Genomic DNA, 27,915 nt, shown 5'->3' with positions numbered 1-27,915 from the left:
TCATAATAAAGAGCTTTAGGAAGCTGACAGTGGTGTGTGTCACAGCGATTGGTTCCGAGGGTGTCCGCAACATGAGGAGGAGGAAATGGAGATGCGTGCATGTGGTTCTCTTACCTCACACAGAAGCCATGTGCGTCGCACGGCACCAAGCTGCCATTACCTTCTCCCTCATGCTGACTTAGAAGGCAGTCAGACCCTTTGGGCTCAGGCATTTTTATTTTGCTTACTACCCATGTATCTTGACTCTCTTCAATAGGTAAGATGAGGGGATAGAAGTGCCCACAGGGCTTCCCTCAAGAGGGGAGAGGCTCGGGTGGCTTTCCTCACATATGCATCTGATAACTTTAAAGGAAGAATAGTTTAGATTTAGTTGTTCTTGCTTTTTTAAAAATTATTATTTCCCCCACTTGGATACGCAATAATGTATTACCATTATGGAAAATGTGGGAACTGCAGAACAGTAAAAAAGAAGAAAATAGACTGGGTGCTGTGGCTTGCACCTGTAATCCCAGCACTTTGGGAGACTGAGGCAGGAGGATCACTTGAGGTCAGTTCAAAACCAGTCTGGCCAACATGGCGAAACCCTATCTCTACTAAAAATACAAAAAGTAGCCTGGCATGGTGGCATGCGACTGTAATCCCAGCTACTTGGGAGGCTGAGGTAGGAGAATTGCTTGAACATGGGAGGCGGAGGTTGCAGTGAGCCGAGATTGCACCACTGCACTCCAGCCTGGACACCAGAGTGAGACTCCATCTCAAAGAAAAAAAAAGAAGAAAATAAAAATTACCTATAATCACTTTATTCATACATAGGCACAGTTAAATATATATATATTTGATTATTATTTAAAGTTATAAATATGTTTACATTTTGAATTCATAATGCACAACATATTTATAACATGTTTTTAACTTAAAAAGACGGTGAATGTTTTTCCATTTTATTTAATATTCTTTCATAAGAATACAATGTTCTTCCAGAAGAGCATAATATTCCATTTATGGATGTGTCATAATTTGTATGGCCAATCTCCAGTTTGGGACAACTAGGGACATTCTATTTTGGTGGTGTATTTTAAACAAGAATCTGATGAACATTCTAAGCCATGAATATCTGTGCAGAGAATAAATTCCTAGGAGTAGAATTCCTAAGTCAAGAGAATCCCTCCTGTTTCATTGTCAAAATGACTCAATATGGTTTTTGCCAATAGTATCCAGGCACAGTCAAAGCCAGAGAGGACTTGACTATTCCATGAGGCCTGACATCATGGGGCACAGAGAGCATGGCTGCCTGGGAGCCAAGAGGGTGCTGGAGACAGGTGCTGCTCCCTCCTGGCTGGAAGAGGAAGGTGCTCTGAGTGAAACCTTGGTCTGAGACTGCCATTCCAGGACAGTCTGGTTAGAGCTTGTGACATGATGTTAGGGAAACAACTTTCCAAAGAGATTGTTTATTTTCCACTTAATGAACAGCTGGAATGTCAAATTAGACTAAACATTTGTGGAATCAAATCCCACTCATCAGCACTGCAGCTATATTAAAGCCAACATCTGGATCAGAAAGATGGAGGTCCCTCACCCGATTATATTCATTGGCAGTCCTCAAAGAAACAACCTCTTGAGATGTAGTTTGTATGCAATGGCTGGGTGTCAGCTAACTTTAATTATGGGAAGACACATATTATACAAAACAAACCAAACAAAAGCATCAAAGAAGAGGCTTCTCGATCATACAGGTCATTCCTTAATGATGATCAGTCAACCCCCTGCTTCCCTAGAGGGAGAGATGGTATTTATCAATAAGAGGAAATTTCAAATCTTGTCACGTCGCTGCCTTATATTGACAGGAAACCTGTGAGCATCGAACTCACTAAAATGCCATGATTTTCGGGTGGTTGTCACATTTGCTTTCACTTTCCCCCAAGTGGCTGCTGCAAGAATAAATTTCAGGGAATGCATGTTCTAGGGGCTAGTTTTTGCTATCTTGCTGAGTACAGTTCCTCCCAGTACAGTTTCAAATGTGCCAGGGAGGGTCCTGCTCTCATTCATTATTCAGGGACTTCCGTGATTATTTGGTTCAGAGGCGCCCTGCTTTGCGCTGCATCACTGGGATTTGGGCATGAGGATGTCTCAAGGCTCTCTGCAAAGCTGTGGTTTATGCATGCGGGTATCCACCTGAAGCCTGGAGCCGCCTTGGAGTGAGATAAGGCCCAATTCAGTCTCACTGGCAGCTCTAATCCCAGCCGGGCAAAGCAGAACACCAGATAGTACACTCAGATTGTGTTATCAGGCCCTCCGTGCTCAGCCATGCTCTCGTCTTAGCTAATTTCTCAGGCACTGCTTTTAGGGAATGTGAGAATTACACAGGTAGAAACCATGAGGTGTCTCCGTTGTAATTGCTCAGTGCCAGCCAATTTGGACAGGAAAAGAAGTAAATCAGAATATTTAAGAGCAAGGCATGTGTGCCAATATTTAGAATCTATATTTGACAGCTCTGATGCATATTTTCCAAAAACATCACAAGAATATATATTTTTTTAATCCCCTCTGTCTAGGTTTTGCCATTCTGTTATATGAAGGATACTTCTGTTTTAGGATTTTTTGTTCACTCTGCTATCAGGACTGGGTAACCATTTTGGCATATTAAACAAAAATACTTGTGAGATTCCAATCTGATTCCATTCCTTCCCAAGTCTCAAACAAAGATTGTCTCTGAGGTCATCTCCTCAATAATGATTAAGAGGAATGCTAACTCAAAATATGGAATGTTCCATGTGCAGTGAAAAACTGATATGAATAACAATAATAGTGGCCAACATTTATTGAATCCATACTATGTCCAAGTACATTTCTAAGTGCTGTGTCTGTGTTCACCAACTTAGTCATCAAAACAACCCTTTGAGTCACGTACTACTTTTAGATGATGTTTGTAATTCACAGAGTGATAATAGTTTTGGCAGTTTCTTCCATCATCTTGTAAAAATCAGGCTGTCTTGGAAATTCAGTTTATGACTTAATGATGCAGTGGCCCAGGCTTTGTTGAACTCAAAGCTCTAGATGCAAAATGAACATCACAGGGTGAGGGATTTGTTTCTACCTGCAGGGAGACAGCAGGAGATGAGAGAGAAGCAGCATCTTGCAAGGCCAGGGATGGACAGGAAGCAGAAGGAACACAGGGCCTCTGTTCTACTTTAGCACAGGAGTGCATGGATCCAGAGGATGCTCTGAATATATACAGCTTAGAAGAAGCTATAGAAACAGTTTTCCTGAGCCCAGCACACCCACAAAGCTGTAACAAATTTACACTTGAGGAAGGGGCATTAGAGACAAGGGAGAATTATTGCAGTTGCATTCATTTTTAACACACCTAAAGAATCTAGAAGCCAAAAGCTGTAGTAATGTCAGAACAATAAAGGCTGAAAATAGCTATGCAAGAGAATTGAAATAAAGCCAAAGCTCATTCCATGCCATAATGCTCTTTTCAGCCTTAAAACAGATCTTGAATACAATGCTATGAAGACTCAGAAAAGTGTTCAGAGAAGGTTGCTGAATCCTGAAGTTGGCTGTCCCAAAGCCTGTATTCAGGAAGAGATTTAAGAAAAGTACAAGTCAAACTGTGCTCATTTGGACAAAGCATGAGTGCATAATTTCAAGAATGTTGGGAACTTCACTTTATATGGAGTGAAAAGAAAATAGGTTTGAAGTCAGACAGATTCGAGTTCCAACGTTAAACCCACCTCGCTTTCAGCGTGACTTGGTTAGCTTATTTGACCTCTGGGAGCCTTAGTTTCCTCACCTAAACAGCTGAAGTATCAGTACTTACTTCATAGGGTTGTGGGAATTATTGAATAAGAAGTGAATATAAAGGGCCCGGCAGTAGCTGATACCTAGCAGATCCTCACCATTTATATACACACTCCGCACTTCAACGTTCTCCCTTCTCCATGATTATTAGAGCCTCATAAACTCCAAGATTATTAGAGCCTCACCATTTATATACACACTCCGCACTTCAGCGTTCTCCCTTCTCCATGATTATTAGAGCCTCATAAACTGTCCAAATAGAGTGAAATTTCAAATATTAAACAAGATGTATTAATGAATATTTAAAAAACAACCTAAAGCAAATTTTTATTTGTCTAACTTTTTTAAGTTTTCAAACTACTTTCTTCATCCATTATTTCATTTGATCCTTCTTGATCCTCTGATATAACAAGATTATATCAGAGACAGCAAAGGAAAGATTCTTCGTCCACTTTTACAGATGAGAAAACTGATGCTCAGAGATATCCAAGCATTTTTCTTTTTTTTTTTTATTTTTTGAGACAGAGTCTCACTCTATTGCCCAGGCTGGAGTGCAGTGGCACGATCTCGGCTCACAGCAAACTCTGCCTCCCAGGTTCAAATGATTCACCTGTCTCAGCCTCCCAAGTACCTGGGATTACAGGCGTCTGCCACCATGCCTGGCTAATTTTTGTATTTTTAGTAGAGATGGGGGTTTCACCATGTGACTGACTGGTCTGTCACCATGTGACAGACTGGTCTCAAACTCCTGACCTCAGGTGATCCACCGACCTCAGCCTCCCAAAGTGCTGGGGTTACAGGTGTGAACCACTGTGCCTGGCCATATACAAGGATTTTCTTAAGGTCAACAAGTAAAAAGTAGTAGAGCTGGGACTTCTTTTTTTCTTACTTCAACTCCTGTGCTCATTTAGTTTGCTTGTTTAAATACACGTGTTGGTTCTGTGTCTCATGAGAAACACTATGCGAGGTGCTTATGATATAATGGTACACTGCGTGGCCTGACCTTAAGGTGCTGAGTCATCAATTGACTACCCAACACCGTCTTATTTTGCTCATAGTTAAGAATTAGAAAGAAAACACAAAATTAACGCTTTATTCTACAAGTTGGGAGGTTTCACTGATATTAGCTCATTTTTTTCTTTGAAATCAACTGAAAAAGGAGACCCAGGAGAATGAGCCAGAAATGCCAGAATATGGATATGCCTTCTGGTATGTTTTTTGATTATGGAAGAATCATTCTTAAATAATACACTCATTTCTAAGTAGGTAGTGTTCCAGACTTCAGTCTGGAGGTAAATAAAGTCTGGGGTCTCTTTTTTTCTGATGGCAGTGGCCACTGATGTTCATCCAGAAGGGGGTTGCAAAATGGTGAAAGTCTTATTCTGTCATTTCTTTTTTCATTTATTAGCTGGAATGCCTCTATAAAAAGAAACTTTCCCTTATCAACTATTTGGCATCCTGAGGTAGAGTTCACATAGGAAAGGCAAATGAATGTTTGATTCATTTTACTTACTAGTTTTCAAAATAGTGGGTTGCTTTCTTACAGTCTCCCCCAAAGGGGATTTTTATTGCTGTTTGTTTGTTTTAGTATCCCATAAGCTCATGAATCTAAATATACTTAAGAAGTTTCAACACACTGTAGTCATGATCCTTATTGATCCTCAATTTATCCAATTTTTGGCTAGTGGGAGTTTATTCAATATGGATGTGGAGTTCTTTTGATACAACCCTTGTAGACTTTTATGAATATTCTGAAAGGAACTTGCACATTGCAAAAGCTCTATATCAAGAAAAGACCAAGAAGGATAGTGTGGGAGCTTGGAATTTTCCACAGCTTCTAAAGAGTAAAGTGGTTGCTGCTCAACACTTCACCTTGGCTAGCATTACCTGTGCACTAGTCTCCTCTCTCACTCCCAACCAAGTGTTGTAACTAAGATTTTTGCTAATTGCGCCTGTGCATTGAAGACAAAATAGGAAACAGATACCATCTTTAACTTTCATGTATTTTATCCAGGCCCAAACACCAAGGCTTTTGTCTTTCATTTTTGCTTCTCTTTTTGTTCTTCAGCTCCCACCCACGATATTTTTCTCCATGCTAGGAACAACAAGCAGGGCTAGTAACTCATTTGTGACTAGAGGCCAGTGTCAGTCCATAAACTAATCTAGGGAAAACCAAATTATGCTGGAAATAATGCAGAGCCCTAATCAGGTTCTCTTCAAAATCCACTTATTGACGATAATTAGCATGAGTTTCTTCCAGAAGCCCAGCTTAGCACATGGACATTCAATGGGATCTTTCAGCTGCAGTGGCTCCGAAGCTGCAATTCTGCCTAATTAATAAAGCAACGACAGACATTTAGAAAAATATATGCATGATAATTTAAGTCTCCCAGAAAAAAATCAATTCGTTCTGTTTAAACTTTGCCTTGGGTGTTCTCTTCATCAATTCAAGTGTGGAGCACTGACCTTAAGTTGCAAATATTTTTCTTCAGGCATGATTGAAGCTTCCAGAGGTAATAGCTTTCAACATTCATTTCTTAGAGATTTTAAAACACTCAAATGGGGACACTATCCCACTTTTCATGGCTATATGTAAATCTGATAAAATAATCTTTAAGACTTTCAAAGTAAATGTAGCTTAGGGCTACAAGAGGTGGCTTTTTCATTTGTGCAATCAATACATGATTAAAATGGTGTGTTGGGAGGGGGCGCATCCCTTAAGCAACAGAATAACACAACTGTAATTTCCCTTCTTAGTGAACTTCCCTAAACATGCCCCTTTGTGTTGATTATTTCTCTTGGTGATAAGCAGAAAAAAAGGTCACCTGTTGCTGACATCTGCTGCTATCTCTGTGTGTTTTCTTGAAATGACGTGTTATATTGGAGCTAATCTAAATGAAAAACAATTCAAAGCATACACATAAAGCAAGCAAACAACTGCAACCAAAAGAAAAAGGTGGGGAGGGGAAGACCCATCAACAAAAATCCAACAAAAAACCAGCTAAAAGCTTTTCATTGATTTTCAGTTAAGGAAGATTATAGCCACAAGGGGGCTCTCGAATCTTCCCAAACACTAGTTAAGTGCTGAGAACTATTTTTCTAGTAATTAATTTCCACAAATCAATATTACCTATTAATGTATATTACAGAGACAAGCTACAGACTTCTGACACGTTACATTCAAGCTAAAGAGAGAATTTCATATAAAAATTCAAGGGGCCCACAGTGATTGTAAGTCAAAGCTGAAATTAGTTGCACCTGTGATTTCCTGCGTCCACTCTAGCATAAAAAATCCCAACACTGCAAATTTCACCAAAGGTTAAAACTGAATGTGAAGCACTGTGTATATAATGGAATACATTGACCTCCGATGGATTTTAAAGGCTGTCTGCCTCCTTCTCCTACATCGTGCACCCCCCAAACAGCCATGGAGGGTGACACAGCAGTTAAAATGCAATGACCCTTTCTGGGGGCAGCGGGAAGTTGCGACAGCCATTAGTTCTGGAGGTATTTAACTCATGCTGAGAGCCTGATGGTGCTGATGGTGTTTACAGCCTGAACCACAAAAGGCACTTGGAATTCAAGAGGGCGTTTTAATTTTCTGTTCAACCCAGTAGATAGGGGTAGAATCTCGTACCACACCTGGGCAGAATAAGGACAGACGGGAATCGCATCTCCAGCAGAAGAGAGAACACGACCTAGCACCCTTATCAAAGGGAAAATGGAGGAACAGAAATGCCCCAAAAACATTATATCAGAGTAGTTCAAATACCCAAATAATCTTTGCACAAACTCAGAAAGCCTCTTGGAGCGCTGATGTGAAATGGCTTTTTGACAACTGCCTTTTCTCTAATCTAATGAGAAAATCATCCCAAGGAAAGTTGAGCATAGGTCTGCCACTGGGCAGGAGCACTTTTGTGGCATGTGGGGGATGTGATACCTTTCCCCTGGACAGCTGGCTCTCCTGAAGAGGGGTCAGGGAGAACAGGGCAGCACGATTGTCCCTCATAATCAGGGTCTTCACGCATCATGCTTCCACATTCATTTTGGTTGTTGAAATTATGAATCACTGTTGTTAAACAAATCCCTGGCTCAGGAAGGCCAGTGTTCTCACTCAGGCTCCCAAGAGACATGTTCTGGGACAGCAAATTCTTCTGTTGTGAAATCCTACTTTGCTTGGCAAATGCCCCCCAGTACAACGTGAACCAAACGTTGATGTAAACTGCATAGACTTTTGGCTTAGGACTTTTAGAGTCACTGGTACCCTCAAGTTTCATTCCCAGTTTACAGAGCAGTAGCCCCTCTTAATTTGCCTCAGTCATTTCTCTTTAGAATTTCCAAAGGTGACTTCTGGAATTCTAGTAACAGCCCTGTTTTGTTGTTTTCAGGTCTGGCCTTCCATTGAACCCTTCCATTGAAAACCTTCCTTTTAATCACATTGCAAGTCACCTTTGTGCTTTCCAGCATCTATCTAGAGTGTTGCTGTCATTCAAGCACCATCAGGATATGTGAGGCCTTCCTTGTTAGAACATTGCAGCCACGATCTGGGGATTTAAATTTAGTCTAGGGCTAGTATGTACAGACAAGGACCTTCTGCTCAATTCCCATTCAGAGCCCTGCCCCTTCTAAGGGCAGCTAGGACTTAGGCAGACCCCTGAAGGAGATGGACAGGCATTCCACAGGTAGAAACCTCCAGATTCTTAGCGGCTCATGGGGGATTGTGGCTTTGAACACAGCATATCTAGTCAAGTTTAAGTACATTTCTTTAAAATACATTTTGACCTTAAAAAACTTAAATAACTTAAAGTTATAAAGAGAAGGAATTCCTCTCCTTTAAGCAGAAGGCAAAGGTTGGTGTTTTAAAGAGAATAAGTGGACCCCTCCTGTACCATCCTTCCCCTTTCGTAGTGCATCTGGTCACAATAGTATTTTATCAGACAACTGCTCTCTAAAGAAATTGAGTGATTAAATGATCTGCTATGATGGGTGGGGTTAGTTAGGGGTGAGGCTTCAGAAGACTAGTCTTTCTCAATGAAGTACTGACCAGCCCAACTGCTGATTTTTACCAATCAACACAAAATCCATCATTGTTCTCCCACTGAGAGATGTTACGGGTTGAATTGTGTCCGTTCCGAAAAAAAGATGTTGAAGTTCTAACCACCACCCCACTGCCCCATACCTGGGAATATGACCTTTCTTGGAAATAGGGTCTTTGCAGAAAATCAGGTTAAGGTGAGGTCATTAGAGTGGGCCCTGATCCAATATGACTGGTGTCCTCATAAAGAGGGGAAATGTGGACATAGAGACAAATATATGTGGAGTGAAGACAATGTGAAGATACAGAGAACCCCATCTACAAGGCAAAAAACAGCTGAGACTTCCAGACGAAAGAGAAGAGGCCTGGCACGGTGTCTCCCACCCTCAGAGGAAACCAACCCTGCTGACATCTTGATCTTGGACTTCCAGATTCCAGAACTATGAGAGAATAAACTGCTGTTGAAGCCACCCAGTTAGTGGTACTTTTGTCACTGTGGCCATAAGAAATGAAAACAAGGTATATCTTTATTGGAGAGACAGATGAATGTAATGAAAGAAGGGACCGGCACTAGCTGCACACATTAATAAACTGAGTCTTTTCAATAAATATAAATGGACTGTCAAGAATACTAAATATTTGAGAAACACAAGACAACTTTAAAAATATTATTATGATTATCCTGATGACTATCCATTATGTGATCTATTAAACCACAACAGAACAGGAGAAAAAAAGTAGAAGTTCTTAGAAACTAATTTATACTCATATATGACAAGCCTGAAAATAAACCAATAGGTAAGACAAATAGTGGGGACCCGGCAACTTGTCAGATATGAAAGGGAAGGGGAAAGACATGCAAAATATGAGAAATTAATGTAAGAGACAAGGAGATGGAATCTGTATGTCCAATATCCATCTTGAAAAAAATCCCCAATAGAGAGCAAAGAGAAACGAAACCAAAAGAGAAGAAATAATAAAAGTAAAATTAGACTATTTCCTAAGTCTAAAAAACTGTGCATTGAAATTGAAAAGGCCTAAATGAATTTAAGGGGTCTGAATGAAATGTTAAAACCCCAAAGATAAAGACAAGATCCAAATGCTTCCAGAGAGGAAGAACCTGAAAAGAGATTAGATATATGGAATAAAAATCAACTCGCCACGATTTTCTCATCAGAACTCTGAAGACTAGAAATAATGAATCAGTAGCTTCAAATTTTTGAGGGAAAATTATTTTAAACATTGAATTTTATACCTAGCCAAATTATCAATTAAGTGTATAAGTAAAATAAAAAATAGTAATACAATCAGAGTATTTGCTTTCTTTGCACTCTGTGGAAAAAAGGACTGTATTTGAAAAAGCATTCTAATATAAATAAGAAGGAATCCATAAAAAAGAGATGGGATCTAAGACCCTGGAATTAACACAGTCTGCAAGGAAAAGATTTACAAGGATGACAATTCAGATATTTTTAAGGAAACATACAGGAGAGCAAATTTTTCACCTTTCAATAGATACCAGAATTCACGGATTGAATATTTTAAATAATAATAATGAAAGAGTCATAGAATTATTCTCTCCATAAGATAAAAGACAATTAGCAACTCCTAGAAGAAACAAAAAGCTGAAAGAGAAAGTTACAACCATCTGTGATGCAAACTAAAATGTGGCATTATTTTAAGGACTAGAAATGTAAGAGAGTAGAATCCGTTTGACCTTGGCATGGGTTAGAGGAACCTGTGTCTATTCTTTTGTTTGTGAGTTCAATCACATCATTTGTGAGTATTTACAGGGTCACATTATGTATGTTGTTTATTGGCTTTTTGATTTTTAGAGTCATCCTAGACAACAAGTTCAAAAGTCTATGCTACATTGAAGGCCAGATGTGAATGTTCAAAAGCCTTACAGAGTGAAGATAAGGCCAGTAGACGCTGGGCATAGAGTGAGCTGAGGGGTTGTCAAGGGAAGTAAAGACGCAAGAATTTCCTCATTTTCCACAGTGGAGAGTCAATATATTGCTGCGTGATAGAGAAAGACATAAAGCTTTTATTCACTGAGTAACAAATACATGTTGGGCTCCTACATATCAGAGGCAGGAGTAGAGTGGAACCCCAGTGGGGAGGCTGTGCCCCAGGGTCTCATTCCTTGTTCAGTGACAATGTTAGTGGTGGGGTACGCAGATGGCGTTTATCCTTCTCAGGAAGAAGAGCTGCATGTTGAGGCCCTTTGATACCCTTCCATTCAGTCCAAGTAACATTTTGTGGGGCAGATTCTCCTAAAATTGAATACAGAGTTTATACCAGACTATTTTTCTGTGTTTTTAACATTTTCTGTCCTATTTTTGCTTTTACTCCTTTTTGTCAGATTCTAAGATATCTGTGGGCTTTGTAAACCTCTACTTAGGCTGCTATCCTTCTGAAAGTAAATTGCAAAATTGATCTTGATACCCAACTGTCTCAAAAGCAAGCGCTTTAAATACAGTTCCTCTGCCAGATGAGAGATAGGATTAGAGGGCAGAGAGTGCTGATCCCACAGGTACTGTGATCAGACGAGAGCATAGCAGGAAGCAGGCCCTGCCATCCCAAGTCTCTGTCCTCAGACGCTCTCATGATAGGAAGCTGATAATCCTACAACAGACTTCCCCAGGCTCAAATAACCAAGAGTCACTGAAAACATGGAGCTTTTCAGCAAATCCTAAGCTGGGTATCAAAGATATGTTCCCAGTTACCAAAGATAGGCCCAACACCAAAGCCTAAGGGGTGTGTGTGTGTGTGTGTGTTGATTTTTAAATACAAAAATAATTCCTCATATCTAAAACAGGAAAAGATGCCATAATGGGTTGACAACTTTATAATGGGAACAGTTTCACTTAGGAGGTGGAGTAACAAAGATCTCAAAGCTTGAAGAAGAAAATGTAACTGCTAGCAAGCTAATAATTGTTAGGCAAACTGCCGTTCTGTGCAGATAGATCATCATTGTCTTTTTGTGCTAGTGAGGAGGAAAAAAGTGTTGGAAGGTTATTTTAAGAGTCAACTTTAGAGCTCTTTTCAGGAGGGCTGGTTTTGCTCGGTAACATGTCTACATTGGTGTGTTTTTATATAGAAGATGCTCCATTCTTAGCATGGAGGGGTTGGAGCTGGATTAAAGCAAGGGCTCAAATATTTTCTAGAAGAAGCTAACTTGAATTTGGAGTAAGAGGAAGTAAAAAGGAAAAAAAGGCTTCAAGAAAGAGAAAGGCAAAGGCATATGGGGAAATATTGGACCGCAAGAAGCTTTTGGTGGTGGAGTTGTTGAAACATTTGAAGAACAGGGATGACTAGTATTAATTTTTAAATAGATTTCCATGTGATTCTGCCACCCCAAGCCATCTGTAAAGTTTTCTATACAAACAAACATCTTGTGTGGGTGGCAGATTGAGGCAATGGAGGAAAAGGGGCTGAGTTCTTTAACTAGTGCAAGGTTGGGATGCCACTCTACTCAGAATGTCAGAGTCAAAGGTGACCTTGAATAGGAATGAAGTCTTCAGTTCATAGAAAGTGTAGTGAAGAATACATCCCACCCCAACCCCCCGGCATCCCTCAGGCTCTGATTCTAACGTTACCACCCCTGCCTCACACCCTAAGCACATCCATTCTTTGGTCAAGATTTCCCCATTGCCTGAGTCTGATCTAAGCATATTCTTCCTAATCTAATAGAAATTGAGTTTGGTAGCTTAGCCGAGACTTGAGCTTGAGACTCAGATATTGCTAATTCTCTCATGCTTTCATCTTTGAATTTTAGCCTTAATGTTCTTCACATATTAAACAATGCTTTCCTTTGGTGATAAAAGACTAAATTTCAATAGTAGGTACAAATGGTTATTTATTATATGTGCTCAACTTTCTAATTTGTTTTTAATGAGGTCTCCTATTTACATGTTTTTTATTTATTAATTCATTCAACAGATAACTTAAATACTACTATGTTGCAGCCACTGGATGCTCTATTCTGTGAAATAATTCTGCCTTTTTACACTTTGTAATAAATGCATTTGCTTCCCAATATAGCAAAAATGGAATAATATTAAGTTCTTCTTTGATATTCTTTTCTCAAATAACTGCACTTTTCCTATTTACATAGAGCTCAAGACATTCATTGAACATTCTCCAAAGATTCTTTAACATTCCAGCCAAGTAGGTGAAAAAGAATTGCTATTCTGATTCAAAGATGATTTAGGAACAGGGCCCAAATCATATCAGAAGTCGAAAAGCCCTTTAAAAATAGGACCATTTCTTCCTGGTCCTCTCTGCCAAGGCGAGGTGGCACGGGCTCCTAATGGTGCCTTATCACTTCTTAGCTAACATGCGAAGTGGATATTTCCTTTGCAGCCCCGAGGTAAGTAACAAGAATGGCTTTTCATTTCTGATGTTGGTTTTACATCAGTAAAAATGTTCATTTTACTTCATTAACAAGAAAAAGATTCACCTGTCTAGGGGCTTGCTGCTGCTTCATGCAGAACATTGTTTCCTTATCACTTGTCCTAAACAGACCCATTGGAGTTGGGGGGAGGGGGGATCTCTAGAGAATTTGTTTTTGGATGGTCTCTATTGTTAGTATTTGGAATATTGTTCACAGCTCAGAGGCCTATAATTAAGACTACAGGAAAACTTGAACTGTAATTTCTTATTTTTGACTAACACAAGTAAAAGAAAAATTGCCTAAAGTCTTGGGCTTCATTTGTTTTGTTCATCTTGTGTTTTGTGGATAGCCTGCCATTCTGCAAAGGCAAAGTAGATCCCCTCACCCCTTAACACACATGCAAGCTCTCAGTTGGCAGCAAAGACCCCACACTCAGGGCAAATCATGCTTTCCCTCTATTTTCTACTTAACTAGAAATCCATTTTTAACATCATCCTAAGACTCGTTCATTAGACAGAAGCCAAGCTTTGACACCACTTACTTGAACAAATTATTTAACCTTTCTGGAACTTTACTTCCTTTACGTCTAAATGGTGATAAAAATAGTACCAACCTCCAGGGTTTTCCTGTGAGGATTCACTGAGACACAACATGGAGAATTTGCACAGAGTCTATCATAGAATAAGCATTAAGTAAAGGTCAGCGGTTCTCAACATTCACAGAGTTTTATGGTCATAATAGTACATAATCACAGCCCAACAGATGCCATTTATGGAACACTTCCAATGTGCCTGGTTGGGGGTGGGGAAGGTCTGCTTCCTTCTTCTCTCTTCTACCCCTTCATCTCCCTCCCTTTCTGAAGGAAAGATAAGAAACTTCTAAGAACGTTGGTTAAAGTCCAGGACAAATGGAGCAAGGTTTCCTGATAGGAAAGGTCACTAACCCTTCAAAACAAGTCATCATGGTAGGATTACCCTGTACTTAGTTCTGTCAGGCTGCCCGGGAGGCTGGGGTGCCTCACAGCGGCCTCTGGGTCTAAACCACATTCTCTAGATCACTTTTTACCTGGCTTCAGCATCAGAGGGTACTGGATGCTGTTTCAGCCCTTAATCAAGCAGAACTTTGATTCCTATTTGGCACTTTTTTCCTTAGTCCTGTACCCTGGTGCTAGCATTCTTGAGTACCAGCTATCTCACTGTCGTACCAGTACCAGTAATTCACTCCAAATCCCAGGCCCCAGGCCCTGTGCCAAGCTCTATGGAAACATAACCTCATGTGAGCCCCATAAGCCTCAGGGAGGAAGGTGTCATTATCTTCACCTTTCAAGGGACCAAAGAGGTTAAAGCTCTTGTCACAGAGCTAGTAAGTTACAGCCAGCATGGAAATCCAGGTCTGTCTGGCTGACTGCAAAGCAGCCTTATGCAGTTCTGCCTCCTATGCAGAGGAATTAAGCGCCTGGGGTACCAAGATAAATAAAACACACCTCTGCCTGCCCAGAGCTCATGGCCGAGTCTGGGAGCTCAGAGTCATTGCAGTGACCCTCCAGGTGTGGTCTGCTGCTCCTCTGTACAGCAACACCTGAACTACTTCTTCATGTGAAAGCTCCTGGCCCTCTTCCACCAGCCTTGCTGAATCAGAATCCCTCTTCAGTGGACCTGAGGGCTCTGTGTTTGTTAATATGTCGCCTGGCCATTCTTAAATAAATTAAACATTGAAAACCATTAGTTCCAAATCTAAAAGCAAAAAACAAGACAGGATACAAAATCGCATATTTTTAGGAAATGCCCCTATAACATTCATCCATAAGAATGTTCTTTTCACCAAACTTGTCTTTCTAAATTCCTAGCCTGAATCTTTTCTGGGGTTGCTTAAATCTGCCAAACATAATTCTCAGTTAGGGAGAGTCATGTTAGCATTGGATTATAATAAAGATTTTATTACTAGTCTTCACTTTTAAAAAAAAGAATACATTATTACAGGGCTAACAAGAACCATAACTCAAACATGATGAACTTCAGTGAAATCCAAGGACCCAGAGCTTTTTCCTTGAATCTAAAATATTAAGCCAATAGCTCAAATGGTTAGAAGTGAATCTATAAATCCTCCCCCAGAGTGGCATGTATTTTGTTTTGCTTTGTTTGCTGGTTTGATGGAGGGTAATGCCATCATTTCAGGAAAACTTCTTGTCTCTTCACTTTCCATCTGCATCCTGCTGTAGCCTGGCTGGGCTCTTTTCATCCCTGTCCTCCTCTTTAATTCCCAAGGATGATTTCCTTCCTATTAAGCATCAAGTTAACTTCTCTCATCTAACCTTTCCTCAAAACCAGTAATAGCCTCCTGTAAAAAGTTCCCGCTTCTTAATCTGACATGTGAAATTCTCTGCAATCTGGGCTCCCTCATCTCTTTTTCAGAACCTACTTCTTTTTTGAAATTATGCTTTCCAAAGAATTTACCTACTTGTGGCTTCTGCATTCCCAAATCCATGCTTTCACTTCTGCATTTTCTCAAGTGCTGGATCGGTCAGAAGAGGTTGGGTTATCTTCAGTAACTAAACAGCCCCTAACTCTCCATGACTAAAAACAACAAAGACTTATTTTACGTTCAAGTCACGTGTCTATCCAAAGCAAGCATGGGGCTAGCTAGCCTCATCTTCCATGCTACAGAGTTAAACAATAAAACAGCCAATTCGAACCATGCTACAGAGTTAAGCAATGAAACAGTCAATTCGAACGTTGCTGGCTGCCATACCAGAGGATAAAGGGAACTGTGGAGAGACTCACACTGGCCATTAAATGCTTTGATCTGGAAGTGATACCTACCACTTTCACTCTCCTGAAACTAGTCACATGGTCCCACCCAGCCACAATGGGGTCAGGATGTGCAATCCTACTAGTGGCTGGAAGAGACAAAAAATATTGGTGAACAGCACTCATGACTGACAAAAGTACTTTTTCATATCTTATCCATACTAAAGGCTGGGCTCAAATACATTCTCTACTGTTTTTCCGACCAAGGCTCCTCTGTATGGCAGTGGTCTCTTTTTTCTTTGTCTTAGGACTCTTACTTTCTATTCCATTATTTTTGGCACCGTCCAGTCAAAACAAATTCCAAGTTATTTTAGGTATGTACATCTGATGTCCCCTGAGACAAGAAATTCTTTTTGGAAGTCAGTCATCTGATCTACCAGTTAAGAGTGTGTAATAGGTATTTAATAGTATATCTAGGCATTGCTTACCTTTTTAAATTACAGTTAAAGTCTCACATCTATAATGCTACACTTTTTTTTTTTTTTTTGAGTTGGAGTCTCACTCTGTAACCCAGGCTGGAGTGCAGTGGCACCATCTCGGCTCACTGCAAGCTCCACCTCCCGGGTTCCCACCATTCTCCTGCCTCAGCCTCCCGAGTAGCTGGGACTACAGGCGTCCACCACCACGCCCAGCTAATTTTTTGTATTTTTCATTTCTGTGCCACTGATACAGATGCTCACTTCACACTACAGCTTTGATCTCCTTGTTTATTCAGTTAAATTCTTATGACAATCATCTCAAATACTCTTTCCTTAGTTGTTTGTTTCATAAAGGCCTCCCTCCTAACTTCTGGCATTTTGCTGGCAATCGTTGGTGTTTCTTGGCTTGTAGTTGCATCTTCCCAATCTCTGCCTTCGTTTCATATGGCATTCTCCCTGTGTGCTTGTCTGTGTCCACATTTCCCCCTTTCATAAAGGCACCAGTTATACTGGAGTAGGGGGCACACCCTACTCTGGTATAACCTTAATTTATCTAATTACCTACAACAATTGTATTTCCAAATAAGACCACATTTTGAGGTACTGGAGGTTAGAAATTCAAGATATGAATTTTTAGGGGACAGCATTTAACCCGTAACAGGAGGACAGTGACTCAATTAGGCATTCAGGAGGAAAGATGGGGGAAGACAGAGTTTGGTTTGTGATGTAATTGTCACAACAGCAACCAGCATCTTTCTGGGCATTTGCACAGGCATGGTGTTCATTGCTTCAGGGCTTCAGCTCCCGTATTCTTCAGAAGTGATTCTCACCAGGTGATTAAAATTGTCATTTCCACTTTCCAGAGGCTTAGAAATAAGCCACAGAGAATTTAAGTCACTTGGCCAAGGTCTCACAGCTAATTAGGAGCAGAGGAAAACTTTGAACCCAGAATATTTCTGATCCAGAAGCCTTGCTCTTATCTTCTATGACGTGTCTTCCCGGGGGGAAGGCCATAAAAGAGGAGATCTAACAGGCAGTTGTCCCAGGTGAAGATACAGACTTGGCATATATCAGCTTATAAAAAGCTTGGACATTCCAGAATCTGTCAAAATCTGAGAATATATGAATCTCACCTGCAATTGAATAGTCAACATTAAACTGATTCATAGTTAATTTGCTCTAGATGTGCGTCAACCCTTTCAGTTAACTAAGGCTTCACTTTACAAAGCAACTAACAGAAATACTGAAGAGTCAGTGGGTGCTTTACTGGTGCTGATTTGATTATTTTTACTAGTGATCCAGGTAAATATTTTGTAGTATTTGCATTAATATGCTTTTCTCCCAAGCAGATTATTGTGACAATAACTTGACTAGATCCTAATATTATTCCTTCTAATTTGTACTTAAATGACATTTTCTTAGGAAAGCCTTTTCTCACCTGTTGCCACAAGGAAGGAGACACATTTCCACATGTTCCCAGAGGCCAAAAAGCTATCCTATCATGGTTCTACTGTGCTTTATTTTAATCATTTATTTAATTATCAGTATCTATTACTAGGTCATATGTTCAGTGATGACAAGGGCTGGGTCCGTTGTCCCTTTAATACCTGGCACATGCCCAATAAAATTTCTATGAGAGCATGAATATATGCATTAATCGATCTTTGATTATACATTATTCTGGGGCTTTGAAACAATTCAGGAATGTTTTGGACCTGCCCAAGGATATTCTCTGGGTGAATTTACAATGACCTGTTTGCTTATTTGTCCTGGTTAGTTTCCACCACATTGATAAGATAGAATCAATCCCACCTCTAGCTATGTGCTATACTTGACAAGTGATATTGACACCTGCAATTCCAGGATTTGTTAGGGTGCATAAATACTTAATAAAAACCCTGAAATAGAATTTGAGGAAGATTCCTTGGAGAACAGCACTATCCACGCCTCCAGATACCCTAAAATACGTCTTTGGGTTAAGCCAGAGCATTAGAGTCCTGCATTCATGAAACAAAGCTGTGTAGTTTCTGATAGGTTTTTTGGTAACTGAACTTCACTTGGATATCAATGTAAAGTAACAACTTTATGCATTTCTAATGCTGTCTAACTCAGTTTCACCATAAAAATATTTTGGGGGATATTGGTCACTAAATTGCATTGTGACCTCCGTTGGTGATTCCTGGAGAAATATCAAGCTCCATATTCTATTTCCTTTGAAAAATCTGTTTATGTTAATTGCATGGTCAAGTCTTGGTTTCTTTACTTGAAAGATGGAAATAATAAAGTACCTAGCTCATAGGGTTTAAGATGGGATATCATGGGTTAACACCAACAATATGCTTACTTAGCACAGTGCTTGGCACATAGTAAATAATAAATATTGGCTATTTGTCTCATCATGACTGTCATTGTCGTCATCATCATTGTAATCACTGTATTAGTCCATTATAAAGAACTACCTGAGACTGGGTAATTTATAAAGAAGAGAGGTTTAATTGACTCACAGTTCCACATTGCTGGGGAGACCTCAGGAAACTTAAAATCATGGTAGAAGGGGAAGGAGAAGCAGGGTACATCTTACACGGTGGAAGGAGAGAGAGAGAATGAGCAAAGGGGGAAGTGCCACATACTTTCAAACAACCAGATCTTGTGGCAACTCACTATCACAAGAACAGCAAGGGGGAAGTCCATCTCCATGACTCAATCACCTCCCACCAGGCCCTTCCCCCGACACATGGGGATTGCAATTCAAGATGAGATTTGGGTGGGGACATAGAGCCAAACCATATTACCCTCTTGGCAGCTATCAGTGGAAAGCTCCAAAGCACATTCATGGCCACTTCTACCAAGTGAAATTACTTTATGTATGTCCAAAATAACCTTAGCTTCATTTTATTTTTTTGACCAATTTTCTCATTTACGTATTTCTGAGGTCATTTTTGTCACACTTTCAGATATAGGTTTACAACCTTTGTGAAACAAGGTGAGTTATTAATACATAAATACATATATATGTTCATTTTCAAAGGAGAAAGATGGATTACAGAGATTTGAAATGACTTGTACTGAAAGTAGCAAAGCAGGAACAATTCCTGTGTTCTAAATTGTAGCTCTCAGCCTTTTTTGTATAGAAGTCCACTGAAGCTTCTCTTTCACTGAATTTTTACGCAGTCCCGTCAAAGAGTCTGATGTGGTTTCTCCCGCATTCCATGCTACTTATTGTTGAAATGAAAGCTTTCCTTCTGATTTGGCACAGAAACTGCACTGAAGGAAGGAAGGACCCTGGGAACACATCACAATCGCTAAAAAAAAAAATGATTCTTTGCAGGTTTTGTAGGTAACCTAAGTATCGCATGGTGAACCTATATAAGCAGGAATTTTAATATTACTTTTAAAGAAAGAAAAAGTCAATTTCTCTTTATTCCCAATAGTAACTGTGATTAATCTGTCGGGTAAGAAAAGGCAGCAGCCAGACACAGAGCCCTTAAGGATTTATGGCTCTGCATGTGTAATCAGAATAACTTTATAAATGTGTTGGTAAGCTCCCGGCCACACCCTTAACCATTCCAGGCACCTCCCTCCTCCTCTTTATACCACATGGCCTCAGAAGCCACGTAAAGGACATTTGGGGCTGCCATCTGCACCACATTTCTCTATAGAGATTCGCTTTTCTCTGTTCCGACAAGTTTAGCTGCACATCCTTCCATCACTACCACTAGCCGTTCCCAATTCTGGCCTTCCAGGATTTGGTAACTTGACTCCATGCCTTTTTCTTTTTTTTTTTTTGGCAAAACAGGGCTGAAAACCCCATGTAGAATGCTAACACAAGTGACTGCTCCACTGCCTTGGTGTACAAGTTTATAAGCTCATGTTTTAGATGCTACCCCCAGATCCCTGTCCAAGTCCAACCAGAGTCAGAAGGAGAGATGGGACCGAAAGGCTTTTCCTTCAGATAAGCTGCAGGCTGTTGAGGGCAGGACCCACACCTTACTTCCACAGTCTGTCTGGTTCTGCAGAGCACAAATTGTGTTAGAAATGTCTTTTTTGCATAATCCCTCCCCTCCCCAACACACACCCATCTAGATGTATATTCCACATTACTAAGTGTTTATTTAAGTACATTATGGAATAGAAACAAAATCACAATTTTCCTTGCCTGCTGTCAAAGACTCCAGATGCTAGAATTACCCATGCCCCAACACGAAACCTTTTGCCTCCCCACTCTCAGTATTGGATCTAAAACTATCAACAGGCAAACAAATAAATTCTGGCAAGATTTCAAATTTGAATATAGGGCTGTTTGCCAGGATATACTGAGTTCCAACAGTGGTTTTAACTCAGAGTCTCTTTTTGGTCTTAAAAGAGAAAAACAAAACAAAACATATTTTCTCATCAATTTGTGCAAAGTCATTCTCACCTGCCCCTCTGGGTACGGTGAGGATTAATGGTTTCTATTTCCTAACAATACCCTAGTCCCTTCCTGGTAGTAAGTTAGGAATATGGGCCCATTAGCTGCAAATGTTGCTCTAGTGGCCTTAAAGGATTAATATACCTCCCAAAGCCCTTAACTTACTGGTACAAATCTGGCTAAATGAGTTAATGGGCTAATTAGTTAACTGTCAACTCTGCAAAGATGAGAAGTGTTGTTATTTTGTACTTTATTATATTCTCAAAAATTAACAACTATAGGCAGTAGATGGTAAGAGGACTTGAAATAGGCTGAACAATTTTGACATGCAACACTGGCATCAACAAACACTTGTCCAGCCTCCACTGGGGGAATGAGGTAATGGTGCTATTAATTGTATCCCATGGGTAACTCCGACAACCAGAGCAGTTGGGAAAAGATTGGAATTCATCATTTGAAAGTCCTTTGGTTGTGACAGTGTTTGTCATAAAGTAAAATGAAGAGTCAGGGTAGAATAATTATCTGTTTCCACGTTATTGGGGATGAGGGAGGTTATGTACTGATGTGTGAGCTTGGACAAGATGTGATCTGCAGCACAACTGAATATGCAGATTGATAAGGTACTTTTACGGTAAGACTTTAAAATGCCACTTGAAAATATGGTTTATTTTAGAGCCATAGGAAAGAGTATGGGAAAAGTATCTGAAAATGTGAATCTACAAATAAGAGTAAAGTGAGACCAGCACAGGGCATCTGGGTCACGGGGAATCCAAGGGGAATTTACTGAAAGATGTTCAACTTGTTGGTTACGATCAGAGATTATATAGCTTGGGCAACTTGTTTCCAAGGAGAAAACTTTATAATTGCCCAAGTTCCTGAATGGTTTGGGAATGTGTGCTTAATCCCTGAGCATCTCAGTACATCTTGAAGAATTGGACGCTTTACACAGAGCAGTCACAGACCAAATGACGGATAATTAAGCATTCTTGGTACCACAGGATGCATGTTTAAGGCTTTTGCCAACATAGTAGCTAATGAGATTGTTGGAAAAAGAGTATGTATGAAGAGCAGCTGAAAAGCTTTTCCTCACAAAGTGAGTTTTTGTTAAAAGAGAAAAAAGCTTTAAAATGAAGCACACACAAACACAAATGTACAGACAGAGATATTCTGCCTGAATTATTCCTTGAGAGATGGAGTAGACCCTCTTGGTTTTCTATACAACAGTCACTTTTCTTTCTTTCATTCTGACCCAGCCCTGATTTTCTTCTGGTTTCCAGCTTTCCATGAATCACGTAAATCCTGATAGGTCTAGGCCGTTAACAATGGGTCCATTGCTGTAAAGGACCGGTTTACAGGTGTATAGGTAGCCAGTTTTGTCAATGAGATGTCAGAGAATGTTGACTGGGGGGTTTCTGTGAGTTTTCCTCCCTGATAATTTTCTTAAGTCAGAACTCCTTCCTCTTCCATTGCTGGATAATGTATTTTGGAGTGCTTCTGTAATTACTTCAACCATCTGGCAATGATGGGGAGAATTGGCCATTAGAGGAAGCCAACACACAGGACAGCAAAACAGAACCTGAGTCCTTACATTCCTGAGCTATTGATCTTCCTGTGACATCCCTCTAGAGTTCTGTTCATGTGAGATGATAAATCCCATTATGATTTATTCCAGTTCAACTGAGTTCTCTGTTGTTTCCTGCCAAGACATTCTCACAAATCCAAAAGAAATGGTCATGTCCTTCCCAGTCCCAGTTTGCTCCAGAAATGTGAAATATAAGATTGCACGTTTATGTAGAGCACCAGCAAGAGGGACAGGCGTGGAGATGGATCCTGACTCTGTCGTGGACTGTCTGAGCTTGAATAATACACTTCAACTCTTTAAGCCTCAAGTTTCTGTCCCTCAAGGGACAACAGCCACTATCTCATAAGGACAGTTCATGAGATTATGTAAGAGAATGTTTTCAAAGTGTAGACTCTCAGTGATAATATCTAAAATACAAACACACACACACATATATAAAGGCAACCCTGACAGCTGTTTTCAACAGGAAAACAAATCAAGTGAGAAAATTAACACCATTCAAGCAGAAGGGTAAATAAACCTAGAAAGACATACGGTATATTGGACAGCATCTGTGTATAGGACTTAAAGCCTTTTTAAAATACCTAATCCAGAATTAAGAGCAAAAATAAGAGTATTTTTATCTGATCTCTTAGGAACATGAAATCTGAGGGAAGATACTTTTGGAACCTTGAATCTGAAAGGAACTCAATGTTTTGCATCCTTGGGATTGCCAGAGATTGGCAGAGGAGAGTCAAACAAGGACACAGAGATGGAGCAGCCTTGATGTAAGTGGGAAAAGAACACACTGAATGTGCTGACCGAAAAGCCAAGAGAAGAAGCATTCATGGAGGATGGAGGGAGTGGACAACTGCGTCAAATGCTGCTAAAAGACCAAATGACATAAGAACAAGGAAGAGAACCTACGGATTTCTAGGGAGCCATGAGATGAAAACATGATTGGATTGGGTTGAGAATTAAAGGATGGCTGAGAAATTGGGGACAATGGCACTTTTTATGTCTTACTAGGACAGGATAAATACAAATAGGGCAGTAACTAGAGGGCCACCAAAGGTGTTTTTCTTTTTCTTTTTTTGAGATAACAGACGATGAAACATGTCTATATACTAATGTGAATGATGCACAAAAGAGGGAGAAATTGATGGAGCAGAGAGAAGGGAAGTGATGGTGGGAGTAAAGTTCTTGAGAAGGGGGAGCTAGTGGTGAGATATCTGGCATTCGTAGGATCTCGGGGACTTTATTCACTATAACAAGATAACCAGTAAGGAGGGTGGAGACAGATGCAGATACGTGGGTGGATTTGGTGATGGGAGAAGTAGATTTGTATTTATTGGTTTCCATCCTGAACAAAGATAAAGAATTTCCCAGAAATGGAAAAGTCTTATATATTTTTTACCTTGCCCCAGATTTCAAAGTTTTGACCTTGGGATACAAGCACAGAATTCTGCGAAAGGAGAGTGGAATTTGTCTCTGATCGGAGAATACTCTAATTGTTCAGATACTGCACTGCTCCGATGAACAACTTCTTTGGAATAGGTGTAGTATAAATGCTTTGGGACAGGATAGTCATGAATTTAACAGGAAAATCAATTCTCTAATCGTTGTACAAATACTTGGTGGCAGCACAATGTGCTAAAAAAAAAAACACTGAGGGACAGAAGAAATGAAGTGAAATTGCAGCTTTATAACTGACACATAACACATAATATTGAGCAAGCATTTTGCTTTCTCTGCATTTTTTCCCTACCTATATATAAAATTACTGTAATAATATTTTGCATCTTATATATTTGATCTGAAAATCAAATTATATGAGAACAACAACAATAATAATAATGCCCAAGAGTAACAAGGGCTATTATTTGTGGATCTCTACTAGGCGGCTGTAATTCTGAACTATTCTCTTTCTCTCTTCCATATATATATATACATATATATATATATACATATATATATATATACATATATATATATATACACATATATATATATATATATACACACACATATATGTATTCAAAAGGATACCACTTTGAAGAGTCCAGGGTTTTGGGAGTTGTATTGTATACTAGGAGACTGGGATGAAGACCAAAACCAGCTTATAACTGGGATGAAGACCACAATTCAGCCCATAAATATGTTCACAGTTTTTTTTTTTTATTATTATACTTTAAGTTTTAGGGTACATGTGCACAATGTGCAGGTTAGTTACATATGTATACATGTGCCATGCTGGTGCGCTGCACCCACTAACTCATCATCTAGCAATAGGTATATCTCCCAATGCTATCCCTCCCCCCTCCCTCCACCCCACAACAGTCCCCAGTGTGTGATGTTCCCCTTCCTGTGTCCATGTGTTCTCATTGTTCAATTCCCACCTATGAGTGAGAATATGCGGTGTTTGGTTTTTTGTTCTTGCGATAGTTTACTGAGAATGATGATTTCCAATTTCATCCATGTCCCTACAAAGGACATGAACTCATCATGTTTTATGGCTGCATAGTATTCCATGGTGTATGTGTGCCACATTTTCTTAATCCAGTCTATCATTGTTGGACATTTGGGTTGGTTCCTCACCATCACTGGCCATCAGAGAAATGCAAATCAAAACCACAATGAGATACCATCTCACACCAGTTAGAATGGCAATCATTAAAAAGTCAGGAAACAACAGGTGCTGGAGAGGATGTGGAGAAACAGGAACACTTTTACACTGTTGGTGGGACTGTAAACTAGTTCAACCATTGTGGAAGTCAGTGTGGCAATTCCTCAGGGATCTAGAACTAGAAATACCATTTGATCAAACACAGTTTTAAAAGATTCATAAGTCGAAGCCCTAATACCCAGTAATTCAGAATGTGACTGTATTTAGATATGGAGATAGGGCCTTTAAAGAAGCGATTAAGCTAAAATAAGGATGTTAGGGTGGGCTCTCATCTAATTTGACTTGTATTCTTATTAGAAGGCAATCTGGACACAAAGGGACACTGGGGTACATATGTACAGAAAAAAGACCATGTGAAGACACAGTGAGAAAGTGGTCATTTGCAAGCAAAGAAGAGGTCTCAGAAGAATGCAAACCTGCTGACACCTTGATCTCAGAATTCTAGCCTCCAGAATGGTAAGAAAATAAATTTCTGTTGTTTAGCTCATATAGTCTGTGGTATTTTGTTATGGCAACCCTAGCAGATTACACACACATGGAGACACACAAGCACACACATAGATGCGTATATAATCTTTTATCCTTACCCTAACTCTATAAGGTAAGCATTATTATCCTTATTTTATAGATGAGGACATTGAGGCGCAGAGAAATTAAGTGACCTTCCTCAGAGTCACATATGACAGCTAAATGGTTACAAAGTCCATAGTAACTATAGGATCCCTGTGATGTTGTGAAATATCTATTTGGTCTTCATCCCAGTCTCCTAGCGCACAACTCCTAAAATCCCTGGACTCTTCAAAGTGGTAAGTGTCTTTCTGAACACTGATGACTTGACTGTTGGCTGGAAGCCCTTAGGTAGCTTCAAGATGGGAGCTGGTCACCCAAAAGACAAAGGTAGGATCAGAGGGTTGGGACTTTCAGCCCATTCCCCAGTCTCCAAGGAGAAAAGAGGTTGAGTTTATTGGTTTCATCAATTGGGCCCATGTAATGTAGCCTCCATAAAGCCTCCCAAAGACAGTGTTTGGGGAGCTTCGGGATAGCTGAAGACGAGGTTCCTGGAGGGTGGTGCACCTGGGGAAGGGATGGTAACTCCATGCCCCTTCCCATATGCCTTGCATCTCTTCGTCTGTATCCTTTTGTTTATATCCGTCATAATAAGCCAGTAAGGGTAAGTTTCTCTGAGGTCTGTGAGCTGCTCTAAGAAATTAATTGAACCCAAAGAAGGGGTTGTGGGAACTCTTATTTATAGTCAGTCAGAAGCACAGGTAAACCAACCTGTGGGCTTGTGAATTGCATCAGAAGTGTGGTGTAGGAGCTTGTGAATTGCATCAGAAGTGTGGTGTAGTGGGTAGTCTTGGGGACTGAGCCCTCAACCCGTGGGATCTGATGCTATCTTCAGGTAGATGGTGTCAGGAGTGAATTGAATTGAAGGACACTCAGCTAGAGTCTACTGCAGAATTGATGGCTTTCTTGCTGATAGGGAGAATCCCCACACACTGCTTGGTGACTACAGGGCACATAAGTCTTCTGTGTTGATTGCTGTGGGGTGAAAGTGGAGGAAAAGTTTGTTTTTTTCTACATAATCCCGTTGAAAGGTAATTGTAAAATAATTGAAGTCACAGAAACAGATTTTTAAAAAAGAACCATTAATTTCTCTGTTTCCCATAACCTCATTCTCAAATAGATTTCCAGTCAATGTGCTACGATTTCATAGCTTTGCCATTGTTGTTGTTTTCAGAGCTCCAAGACCACTATTTCTTCAAGATTTTTTAGAATTTTTAAACATCCTTCTCATTGCACCTTTTAGTGGTCCCTTATTGCAATTCTATCATTCAAACTCAATTAACCAAATTGTTTATTCTTTCTGCCTTTGTTTTCATCTCAGCTGGAGCTACTCCAGGGGTTTACAGCTTGCCAGTTTTGCAATGAAGTGCTTAGATCAGAACTCTGAGCAGGACCCCGTTTACTGGGACAGTCTGGCCATCAGATGGTGCCTGTATCAGTGTAGCCCCAGATCTCATGGCTTTGCAAACATCTGTGCTCTCTGCTTTACCCTGCAGCATTTCACTTCCATTAAAAGTGCAGCCTAAAATCTCCCTTGTGCATCCTTGTCTGGGAACTGGGTGACTTCCAGTTGAAGGGTCAATAAATATAATTAAAAGGATCATCCAACTGGATCTCTTTCTCTGAGTGTCTTCCCTTGGAGGGACAACCCTCTCCATCTCATAAATGGATTTTTTCGAACATGAGGACTTTGAAAGGTGGCAGATGTCCTCAGCCTATTGATTTGTGTAGTTTGATGCCTGGCAAGTGGTAGTCAGAGTCCTCAGATTCATAAGGACACCCCCTCATATGCAGAGGATTCACAGATGATATTCACTGTATTATGGCCTGATCGATAGTCCCCTACCAAATAAATGCTCATCTACTCTATCACCTCTCCTCATAGACAAGTAATAACACCATGACTTATTAGGAAATACAATGAGCGTAAAACAGTAGTAGCCAGCTTCCTGAATAACTGTTACATAACACGGCATTTCTTGGTACTTTCACGTACCCTAATCCTATTTTTGACAATAAACCTGCAAGCTGCTAGTTTTTACTTCTGTATGATTATTAAGGAAACCAAAACTTCGTGAATTTAAATGTGTTCAAGGTCTCATAATTATAAAGCATCTAAAATTATTTCTCCATCACCAAAGCCCATGTCTTTTCACTGTATTAAATTTTCTCTCAGCCAATCATCACAGACATTCCAAAAATATGAGTTTTCTTTAAAAAGTTAACCTTGAA

At 40.0% G+C, this 27,915-nt stretch overlaps 1 protein-coding gene and 1 long non-coding RNA gene across 2 annotated transcripts in view, besides 1 other annotated feature; one reads left to right on the top strand and one right to left on the bottom strand.

Annotated features, from left to right (window-relative positions):
* Positions 1-27,915, bottom strand: part of HS6ST3 (heparan sulfate 6-O-sulfotransferase 3) — a 749,456-nt gene that overhangs the window by 15,168 nt on the left and 706,373 nt on the right. The gene's annotated exons all lie outside the window — the stretch shown is intronic.
* Positions 6,837-7,594: an enhancer, noted in NCBI's record as "OCT4-NANOG hESC enhancer chr13:97469055-97469812 (GRCh37/hg19 assembly coordinates)". NCBI's record gives its function as "activates a minimal SCP1, AML or CMV promoter by ChIP-STARR-seq in naive and primed H9 embryonic stem cells {active_cell/tissue: H9 hESC(naive and primed)}" and the evidence as "EXISTENCE:reporter gene assay evidence [ECO:0000049][PMID:30033119]".
* LOC124903195 (uncharacterized) lies at positions 25,191-27,283 on the top strand. Its single transcript, XR_007063841.1, has 2 exons — positions 25,191-25,572; positions 25,745-27,283. It is a non-coding gene; the product is annotated as an uncharacterized LOC124903195 (long non-coding RNA).

Source organism: Homo sapiens, chromosome 13 (assembly GCF_000001405.40).
Source record: "Homo sapiens chromosome 13, GRCh38.p14 Primary Assembly".
NCBI classification, from domain to species: Eukaryota; Metazoa; Chordata; class Mammalia; order Primates; family Hominidae; genus Homo; species Homo sapiens.
This window is presented reverse-complemented; position numbering and strand designations above follow the sequence as displayed.